The sequence below is a fragment of the Homo sapiens genome, chromosome 1 (assembly GCF_000001405.40).
Source record: "Homo sapiens chromosome 1, GRCh38.p14 Primary Assembly".
Lineage (NCBI taxonomy): Eukaryota > Metazoa > Chordata > Mammalia > Primates > Hominidae > Homo > Homo sapiens.
In genome coordinates, this window is record NC_000001.11 from 190,324,600 (window position 1) to 190,336,663 (window position 12,064).

The 12,064-nt window shown below is 32.7% G+C and overlaps 1 protein-coding gene across 14 annotated transcripts in view, besides 1 other annotated feature; it reads right to left on the minus strand.

Annotated features, from left to right (window-relative positions):
• BRINP3 (BMP/retinoic acid inducible neural specific 3) overlaps nt 1-12,064 on the minus strand; it is a 380,207-nt gene that overhangs the window by 226,942 nt on the left and 141,201 nt on the right. The gene's annotated exons all lie outside the window — the stretch shown is intronic.
• Nucleotides 5,707-5,907: a silencer, noted in NCBI's record as "peak566 fragment used in MPRA reporter construct". NCBI's record gives its function as "represses an SCP1 promoter by STARR-seq MPRAs in K562 erythroleukemia cells {active_cell/tissue: K562}" and the evidence as "EXISTENCE:reporter gene assay evidence [ECO:0000049][PMID:32103011]".

Sequence of the window (12,064 nt, forward strand, 5' to 3'; positions counted from 1 at the left end):
TCTTCCTGACTTATTTTGGGGAAAATTATTTAAATGGTTTTATTAATAATGATTACTGCTACTAAGAATCAAATTTGTCTAAAATATTATTTGTAATATTTTAAATAATAGATATCCATGTTTATATAATGAGATAAATAGAAATACTTTATAATCACAAAGCAATGATTGTCATGAGGATATTTTTGTCATAAGTTTAGTGAAATAAATTACCCGTAATTAATTGAGGGTAGATGTATGGAAGCAGAAAAGCAATATTGATTACCTTAAAATAAGTGTGATACCTTGTAATCATTATGATTCTCAGAGGGAGTAAGAGTCAAAAACTTGTGGAGCTCGATAAACAAAAATCTAATAAAAATGTTTTCATAGATGACTAAACCAAAAGATTATAACCTTAATAAATTTATATTTCTTCAAAGTGCTTGAATTTTCAAATAAATATTAAAAACTAAATAATCGGCAGCATAGTAGGACAAATACAAGACAGTTACAAACAGCCAGCATTGAAGGTTGAAAGACTGATACCCAGAAAAAAAGCTTGCTCATATAAAATGCTGAAGGGAATAAAATAAATTGTGTATTTTCTGTAATAAAAAATAGATTAATTGCTCCAGACAGTAAAATTTTTGATTTGATTATAATTACCTTAAAATGATATTTAAATAAATAATTTGTAGATTCAAGAGAGGATTAAGCTCAGAAAAGTAAGCAAGAACTTAGCTACTTTACATTTTAGATCTGGAATATCGCTGCCTATACTAGTGATAAATTGACTGACAGAAAGTTAAAACCATATTTAGCATACATTGAAAAATGATAAAAGTCAGCAAACTTACCAGAAAGGATTAAGAAGAAACTTAGCCTTATTTTAAATGTAGGAGAAGTCATCGGAAGTAGATATTGAAATTACATACTGAAGAGTTCATATCAATTTTTATGAAAATGTACTTGTAAGTGATAGCTGATGTGTGGAAAAGGAGCACTCATCAAGGGTTGACAGAAAGCCTGGACCACTCGATAAGGTTGTCTTGAGTTACTTGACAATATTAAAATATTTAGGTATGTAACTATTCAGAAGACAGTTGTATAATATGTCTGTATAACTGGCAGACCAACAATAACACTTCATATGCTGATCTGACACAATCTTTGTCATTTGCACTGCCCTTATCCAAAAATATTTTTATCATTTCTGCATGTACATAACAATTATAAAATGATTTGTCATTTTCACATGTTGTGATATCTAATTTATACTGCTCAAGTGGATCCTATTACATTAATATGTTAAAAACCAATAATAACTGTTTTATAAAATTCACCTGTGTGAGTTCCCTGAAGGTCAAATAACTCATTAAAAATAATGTATTCAAACAATAAATTGCAAGGAAGCTCAATGAGATCCAAGACAAGGTTGAAAATTGACACAAAGAAACTTCTAAAGTAATCCAGGAAATTAAGGAAGGTCTAAACATCTTTAAAAAAAATCAATTGGAGCTTCTGGGATTGAAAAACTCACTTAGGAAATTTCAAAATACAATTCAAAGCTTTATCAATAGACCAGACCATAACAGAAGCATTTCTGCACTTGGAAGTCAGGTCTTTTGAAATAATCCAGTCAGACAAAAATAAAGAAAACAGAATTTTTAAAAATGAACAAAGTATTTGAGAAATATGGAGTTATGTAAAGTGACCAAAGCAATGAATTATTGGCATTCCTGAGAGAGAAGGAGAAAAAGCATATTTGAATATGCCACTTTGAATATGAAAAATATATTTGAGGGAATAACACAGGAAAACTTCCCTAATCTTGCTAGAGAGGTAGACAGTCAGATAGAGGAAATCAGGAGACCACCTACAAAATACTATACAAAATAATCATCACCATGACATCACCAGATTGTCCAAGGTCACCAATACAGAAAAAAATCTTAAAAGCAGCTAGAAAGTAAGGCCAGATCACATATAAAGGGAACGCTGTTAGGCTAACAACGGACTTCTCAGCAGAAACATTAGAAGTCAGGAGAGATTTGGGGGCTTATTTGAAAGATTTACAAGGAAAAGAAAATCCAATCAAGAATTTCATATCCTGTCAAACTAAGCTTCATAAGCAAATAACAAATAAAATATTTTCCAGACAAACAAGCACTAAAATAATCTGTTACTATTAAACCCATCTTACAAGAGATACTTCAAGGAGTACCAAACATGTAAACAAAAGAATGATAGCCACTACTGCAAAAACACGCTTAAGTACATAGCCCACAGACCCTAAAAAGAAACCACACATTAGAAACTACGAAACAACCAGCTAAGAACTTCACAATAGGTTCAAAACCTCACATATCAGTATCAACCTTGAATGTAAAAGGTCTAAATGCCTGATGTAAAACAGACAGTGTCAAGTTAGAAAAAAAAAAAAAAATACACAAGCCTGGCACGGTGTCTCATGCCTGTAATCTCAGCGCTTTGGGAGGCCAAGGCGGGTGGATCACTTGAGGTCAGGAGTTTGAGACCAGCTTGGCCAATATGGAGAAGCCCCATCTCTATTAAAATACAAAAATTAGACAGGCGTTTTGTTGGGCACCTGTAATCCCGGCTACTTGGAAGGCTGAGGTAGGAGACTCACTTGAACCCAGGAGGCGGAGGTTGCAGGGAGTCAAGATCACGCCATTGTACTCTGGCCTGGGCAACAGAGCGAGGCTCCATCTCAAAAAAAAGAACAAAAAAAAAAAAAAAAAAAAAAAAGGAAAAAAAAAAAAGAAAGAAAGAAAAGAAAAGAAGACCAATCTGTCTGCTGTATTCAAGAGACCCATCTCACACATAATAACAACCATAGGCTCAAAGGAAAAAGTTGGAGAGAGATCAAGGACACAAACAAAAAGAAAAAAAAAAAAAAGCGAGCAGAGATTGCTATTCCTATATCTGATAAAACAGGCTGTAAACCAACAACAGTAAAAAAGGAAAAAATATAAAGAATTCAATTTAACAATTAGAATTTGCTATCTAAACATATACACATCTAATATTGGAGCACAGAAATTTATAAAACTACTTTTTTACTTACAAAGACTTACACAGCTACACAGTAATAGTGGGGGACTTCAATACTCCACTGACAGCATTAGACAGATCATATAGGCAGAAAACAAACAAAACAATGTTTGCTGAATTTAAACTGACCACTTTAGCAACTGGATCTAATAGACATGTACAGAATAATCCACCCGTCAACCACAGAATACACATTCTTCTTAGCTGCACATTTAGCATACTCAAAGATTGATTACATTCTCAGCCATAAGGCAAGTCTCCATAAATTCAAAAAAAATCAAAATCATACAAACCATACTCTTGGAGTAAAAACAGAAATCAATACCAAGAAGATATCTCGAAACCACACAATTACATGGAAATTAAACAACTTGCCCCTGAATGATTTTTGGGTAAACAATGAAATTAAAGCAGAAAGTTTTTAGCACTAAATGCCTACATCAAAAAGTTAGAGAGATCTCAAACTGATGAATTAACAACACAGCTAGGGGAACTAGAAAAAGAAACAAAGTGACCCCAAAGCTAGCAAAAGAAAAGAAATAACTAAAATCGGAGTGGAACTGAATAAAATTGAGACCCAAAAATCCATTCAAAGAATCAACAAAACAAAAGTTGGTTATTTGAAAGGATAAGCAACATAAACAGACCACAAGCTAGATTAGCAAAGAAAAATACACAGAAGATTCAAATAAGCACAATCAGATATGACAAATATGACATTGCAATTGATCCCACAGAAATACAAAAGATCCTCTGAGACTATTATGAATACCTCTACACTCAGAATCTAGAAAATCTAGAGGACACATAATCTCCCAGGATTAAATCAGAAAAGAATGGAAAAACTGAACAGAATAATATCTAGTTCAGAAATTGAATCATTACCAACTGAAAAATGCCACAGGGCCAGTTAGAGTCACAGCTGAATCATACCAGATATACAAAGAAAACTGGTACTAATTCAAATGAAACTATTCCAAAATATCAAAGATGGGTGATTCATCTCTAACTAAATCTATGAAGCCAGCATTACCCTGATATAAAAACCTGGCAGAGACAATGAAGAAAAAAAAAAAAAAAATACAGGCCAATATTCCTGATGAACATAGACACAAAAATCCTCAACAAAATATTAGCAAATTGAATCCAACGACACATGAAATTCACAACAATCAAGCAGGCTTTATTTTGAGATGCAAGGTTGGTTCAACATAGAGAAATCAGTAAATGTGATTCACCACATAAACAGAATTAAAAATAAAAACAACATGATCATCTCAATGCCTGCAGAAAAAGCTTATAAAATAATCCAACGTTGCTTCATGATAAAAATCCTCAAGAAATTCACTGTTGAAGGCACATACCTCGAAATAATAAGAGCCATACGTGACAAACCCACGGTAAATATAATGCTGACCAGGCAAAAACTGGAAACATTTCCCCTTGAAAATTTGAACAAATAAAGGATATTCACTCTCACAATTCCTATTCAGCATGATACTGGAAGTGGTAGCCAGAGTAGTCAGGAAAGGGAAAATAATAAAAAAGAATCCAAATAGGAAAAGAAGTCAAACTACCTCTTTTTGCAGACAATGTGATGATTTAATTCTATACCTAGAAAATCCTAGAGACTCTTGCAAAATTTTCCTGGAATGGATAAATAACTTCAGTAAAGCTTTAGGATATAAAATCAACATACAAAAATCAGGGACACTTCTATGCAACAATAACATTCAAGCTGAGAGCTACATCAATAATACAATACCATTTACAATATCTGCACACACACAAAAAAAAAATACCTAGAAATATGTCTAACAAAAGAGGTGAAAGACCTCTACACAGCTACAAAATACTGCTAAAAGAAATCATAGATGACAGAAACAAATGAAAAAACATTACATGCTCATAGATTGGAATAACTGATATTGTTAAAATGAACATATTATCGAGCTACCAATATTATTTTTTTCACAGAATTATGAAATCTATTCCAAAAGTCATATGAGATTAAAAAATGAGCCTGAATAGCCAAAGCAACCCTGAGCACAAAGAACAAAGTCAGCGGCATCACGTTGCCAAACTTAAAACTATACTACGAGGCCACAGTAACCAAAACAGCATAGTACTGACACAAAAACAGACTAATGGAACAGGTTAGAAATCCAGAAATAAATCCACATACCTAGAGCCATCTGATCTTCAATGAACTCATTAAAACTAAGCAAAAGATAAAGGACACTCTAATATATGGTGCTGGGACACCTGGCTAGCCATCTGCAGAAGAATGAAACTGGACCCATACCATTCATCATAAAAAAAAAGCCTCAACGTGGATTAAAAATTAAAATATAAGATCTAAAACTATAAGAATCCTTGAAGAAAACTTAGGAAATATCATTCTGGTCATTTTCCATGTTACAGAATTTATGACTATGTTCACAAAAGCAATTGAAACAAAAATAAAAACTGGCAAGTAGGACCTATTAAAACAAAATAGCTTCTGCACAGTAAAATAAACGATCAACAGAATAAATAAAAAAACTACAGAATGAGAGAAAATATTCAAGAACTATGCATGCGACAAAGGCCTAATAGCTAGAATCTATAAGGAACTTAAACCAACAAGTAAAATACAAGTAACCCCATTAAAAATGGGCAAAATACATGAACAGACACCTCTTAAAAGAAGACATACAAGTGGCCAACAAATATATGAAAAAATGTTCCACATCACTAATCATCAAAGCAATGCAAATCAAAACCGCAATGAGATACCACTTCATACCAGACATAATGAGTTTTATTAAACAGCAAAAAATAACAGCTGCTGGCAAGGCTGTGAAGAAAGAGGAATACTTACACACTGTTGGTAGGAATGTACATTAGTTTAGCCACTGTGGAAAGCAGTTTGGATAGTTCTCAAAGAACTTAAAATAGAAACACCATTAGACCCAGCAATCCCATTACTGGGTATATATCCAAAAGAAAACAAATCATTCCACCAAAAAGACACATGCACTCACATGTTCATTGTCCCACTATTCTCAATAGCAAAGACATGGAATCAACATAAGTGCCCATATGGTTGATTGGATAAAGATTATGTGGTATATGCAAACCATGGAATACTATACCACCATAAAAATAAAACAAAATTATGTCCTTTGCAGCAATGTGGATGTAGCTGGAGTCTATTGTCCTAAGTAATGCAGGAACAGAAAACCAAATATGGCATGTTCTCATTAATAAGTGGGAGATCACTGGGTATTCACGGACATAAAGATGGCAACAACAGAACCTGGAGACTACTTAGGGGAGCGGGGAAGGAGTGGGGGAGGATTGAAAATCCATATATTGATCACTAGCATCCGAACTTCAGCATCATGCAACAGACTCAGGTAACAAACATGCATATGTACTCCCTGAAACTAAAATAAAGCAAAATAAAATTTAAAAACTCTATATCCATTAGAGAGTCATCTCACATTCTCCTCTCCTCCAGCTCTTGCAAGCTGGCATTATGGCGTTCTCATCATTCTATAGCCTATTAAGTTTTGAAAAAATAAAATAAAATATTTAAAAGATATGTAAGTATATAACATCAGAAAAAATAATGCAAGCTTTTCCTGGTTGAACAATGTATGTACCCAAAGACTTTTTTTTAACCTATGCATAATAACCACTTGAAAGCTTGAACTTAGCTATGAAAACTTACTGTCGTCTTGATTTCACACACCATATTTAGTCCATTAGAACAATAGTTTACCAAGAACTCTTCATCATGCTTTTAACAGGTCTGATTCTCATGCAGTGTATGGTAGAGTCTGTTAAATGCTTTTAAAAAGTTGTTTGCTGTTGTTCTGTTCATCCTCAGAAAGCACATAATTATTTGTAGTACGAGGTGGCCATGTGACTGATTTTTGCCATCAAGTGTAAGCAGGAGTGATGTGTTCCTTTCAGACATGGTTTGTGAAAACCCAGCATCTGAACTTCTCCATAGGCTTTTCCAGCTAGCAGAAATGGGATTATACATCAGAGCAAACATAAATACCACTTAATGGAAACAGTAGATCACCTACACAGTTCCAATGCATAGGTAAGAATTAACTCATACTTATATTTGAATCATTAATTGTGGCATCTATTACTTGCAGCAGTGAGCCTAACACAATTAATAAATTATGCTTAGCAATGTCACTAGGCTCTTTCCATTTTATAGACATGTTGATGGCAGAAATTCCCATAATCTCAAGGAAATTCATTTTGTTATCAATGCATCACTAGTATTTTCTTAATATGGTTGTTATTATTATCTTTTCGTGCTTTTTATAATTATTAATACATTTTAAAAGTTATCAGACTATTTGAATCTAATTTTTTGTTAATCTGGCCATTTACAATAAGACAAACTTACATCAACCCTATTTTAAGCTATTTTTTCCAATAATTATATATGCCTATTTTGTTCACAAATTAAATACTGATACAATGATACATGTCAAGAAGAAGTATATGAACACGTGTGTGAATTTCCTGTAAACAATTTGCATATATACTGCCAACTCTTACTTATCTTTCATTTCTTTGACTGATAGAAAGTAGGAATATGTATGGTAAATGGGTGCCAAAGGGCAAATTGCCCCAATGAAGCAGCACATCCTCAAGAAAACTTGAGGGCTGTTGCCGAAGAACTCATATTTGGCTGAACTGGTATACTGTATGGCAGCCAAACGCTAACTATTCTTTTCTCATATTTACCACTGCACCTGTCCATTCTGACAACTTCCCCAAGTATTCTACATGTATGGATTTCAAATACCTGTTCACCTTTTCCAGGGTCTTCTCCTCAGTAGGAATGGTGGCCAAGCTGAAATACATGGGTCTCAGAACTCAGGCGTGTCTACCGTTACAATGCCAGCAGAAAGACAGTCTTTCTCAAAACAACAGGCTCCTTCTCTCTGCTTTCTTTTATTCATATGTTCCTTATTTCCTTTTTGGCAATACCTGACTGACTGGAAATAAAGGCACATTTCTACATATGTCCAAGGCAAGGCATGTTTGCACTGTGATTTAGAGTACTACGATTTCTCCAAGGGCAGTTGTTAAGAACAAATCAGATGATCTTTCTCTGAATAAAAACATAAGAGAAAGACAATAAATATTTGTTTCCTGATTTAGAAAGATACTTCAGGCTATTATCAATCCGGGTGTGTTTCCATGTTGAGTGGCCCTCCAGTGATTTATTTCACTTTTCTTTTTCATGCATCTATGAACCCATATACCTATTTTTTAAGCTTTATTTCACATCTGTTTTGCACTTAGAATTGTGAAAAAAAAATTCAGTACAAAGATGAAAAACTTGCTTTTCACCTCCAGCAAATTTTAAATATATTTGTTGATAATAGTAACAAGTACTACCAACATTTTTGGATGCTTATAATATACCTGACCCAACACTAATTGATTTGAAAAAATGATCTTATTTAATTTTTACAATTGCTAGGGTAGATTTCTCCCCCACTGCATAAAAATTTATAGATGAGAAAATCAATGTACAAAAAAATTAAAAATGATCTCCAGGTATACAGCCAGCTACTGAGTGGTGAACCTACGATTCAATCGTAGAGAGTTTTCTGAAGCCCTTCTTCTGAAGCAAACACATGAAGAGTATAGGTATGGTGATCACATTTGTTAATAACACTAAATTTAGTGGAACATATACTGCAGTGAGTGGTCAAATCGTAATTTTTTAAGATATCAAGAGAGTGAAAAAAATCAAAATCAAAATAAAGTTAATAGAGTAAATGAAGCATATGCACATCTTAATAACATCAAACTAAATATGCATTATTAATGATCAAATTATGTGTTCAAATATATTAATGATCAAATTATATATTAATGATGAAATATATCAAATTATGGCATCACCTTGTAAAGACAAAATTTTAAATTTTACACTATTTTTATCACTCTATGAATAGCTTGTAGGACTGAAAGTGAATTTAAGTTGCATCTTGCAAATTATTTCCCAGTGTAGAAATTACCTTAACAACATCCATACTAATTGATTACCAACATCTACTTAAACATTTCCTGGGAAAAGGAGTTCAATTTCTTGTAACAGAGCCCAATCTATATCTTGTGATCTTTTTGAGTCCTAGGCTGCTGCTTTTTAACTTTAACTCATTGATCCTGATTCTGTCTTTTGAGTAACACATAATTAATTTACTTGCTCACTCTACTTGACAGCCCTTCAAATATTCATAGGGCTCTTAATGACTCCAATAAGTTTTCTCAGTTCCATAATACTTCCAATAACTACTTAGTTGAGATGCATTGCATCAAAATTTGCACAACGCTATATGAGCATGCACTTCCTTCCCACATTTTCACCTCACATTTATACACATAAAGAGAATCAGATCTTTAGTTAAATAAAATTTGTTTAAATAATAAAAAAGTTAAAAATCATGAAAATTTCAGGTTAAGTTCAGATAATAAGTTAATTATACAAATGGGTGGAGTGGCAAATAAAGCAGCTTGATTTTGTCTTCTGATTTCAATCTTTTTTCAAGTTTTCTTGTTTTTGAAGGCCCCTGCCCACGCTACGTTCAAGGAACACTCTTGTCCATTTGAGTCTATGCTGAAAAATATGTGAATAATTATTTCCTTTGGTTTCCCATCATAATGTGGAATTTTGCAAGTCTTGGCTAAATATGTGTGAATTTTTTTAAAATGGAAAAATCAACACGAGAAACTGAAAAAGATGCAATTTTTTTCCATTCTTATAATTTTCAGGTTTTGTTGTATTTTATATATTATCGCTGGAGGGAGATGGGTGTATTTCCCCTTATTTGAGGTGCATGACTCTTATCCTTGAATAAGGTGAGATTATATTCACTATATATCTTATAAAAAGAAAAATGGGCTGAAAATTGACTATGACCCTTTTTGCATTCTACCTAAGAGCACAATTAGTTTCTAAGGTAAATTATATTTTGCTTAGAAGATGATTTGTCTGGGTGTTTAAATGGCATGTAATTAGGTCTCTGAAACAAACTTAAACTGGGAAGTATAAAATAAAGTTCTATAGATTGCAGGGTATTGAAATAATAAGGTGAAAATGCTGTAGTGGTTCTTGCAATATGAACTGATATTTGATTTCCTGTGGGCAGGCTCAGATAGAAAATTTCTTAAGATTAGGAACATGCAAAAAAAGAAGTGGTGGTAGTCTCTATAAGAAGAAAAAAGCATGAAAGACAGGACACAAATATAATCTAGAAAGAGACTTCTTATATTGGGTGTGGTAAATGAGCTTGATGGATTTTGATGTTTGATATCTAGTTTAAAGATATTGCCTATTTTATATTGTAATTACTCCCTATTGCTTTTTCCCTTCATTTCTACAAATCTCCAGGAAAATTTAGTTAGCCATAGTTAGTACTGGGAAAGCAGGGAGAATTCTTTTAAAGACTTGGGTAAAGTGGAACAAAAAGATCTTCATCAATCTTGCCAAATTATGACAAAATAGGCTGAAGTGAAAATAGAAGCAGAAATCAACAGCATGAACTGAAGATTAAACAACTAGGACCACTAAACACTTCCTAGGCACATTTTAGGATATTTCTTCAGTCACTTACCCGATAGAGGCTAAAGTTAAACTTTTACTACTTGCCTTAAAAGATGGAGTGACTCTAGAAGAAGAGGACTTCTAATTCTTGAAGTCATAAATAATAGGATGATGTCTTTATTTTATAAATACTATACTAAAAAATGATAATTTTTTACTTACATGTAGATGTTTAAAATAAATGTTTACATAATTGAAAAGTTTGAACCTCATATTGTTAAAGAAAACATTGTTAAGTTTGATGAATATTTAGTATCAGGTGGTATAAATATATTTATTTTCTGAAGTTTGTATAAAATCTTAACCCCAAATGGATGTTCAGACATTTTAAAGAATATATGACTCATTAACACTTTATATATAAATTCGAATATTTTTCAAAAAACCTCAAGATATTCTCAGATAAATAATCTCAATAGAAGTAGATCATAACATTACCTGAAAGAAATCATCATTACAATGGAGATTTTAAAGTCTGAATGAAGCTAGCTCCTGTAAACTTGTCTAGTTTCATCTCTAACATGTACATTGCCAGTTAAAGATTTTACTGTTTAATATTGTGGTAGACAAACTCAAGGAATAGTGTAACCTATTATAAAACCTTTTCTTCCTCTCAAATGTGACATCTGATAACAGAACTTATTTGTGATCCCCAACAGTAAAAAGATTATAAGGTAGTGTGGTAAGCCTATCAGTGAATTTCTACAAGTGGGATGTCTGGCATTTCCGTCTTTTGGAATACTACCATGTGATATATATTAAGGCAAGTGCCTTAATTCCTCTGTTTCCCATAACGAAATGAAATGGTTACAATAAGTCAGTATTACAACTCCTTGGAACAGTCACTGGTTCCATCACTACTCTCCCTCATTCTTCTAATTGAAAGTATTAAAGCTCCAGTAATATACAAATGCCTAACAGTTCTATTTAACAATATAATTGCAGTTGGTGCCTTGAGATACTTGGAAGATTAATCTATGTTTTACTAAGATCATTTTGATGTTGTGCAAAGTTTCCATATCTACCTTCTTTGACAAATGAAATTAGAATAGTTACATAGTTTTTTGTTTGTTTGTTTATAATAAACTATATATGAGTCAAACACTGCATGGATTCTAGAAGAAAGCCATATAGATCTATGTTAACATCAAAAGAATTAAAATATCACAATGAAAAAATCCCAAAATCAAGCTACTATATTGGTATGAAAATGCCTATTCTTCCACTCAAGAAAACGTAAATCTTATCAAACACCACACACCTCTAATGAGATTTTTAACCCAGGACAAATATCACTATGTATGTTATTTACACAGGGAGAATGAATTCCTGAAAGTATGGGTGTAAATTAAAACTGGTGTAGACAAAATA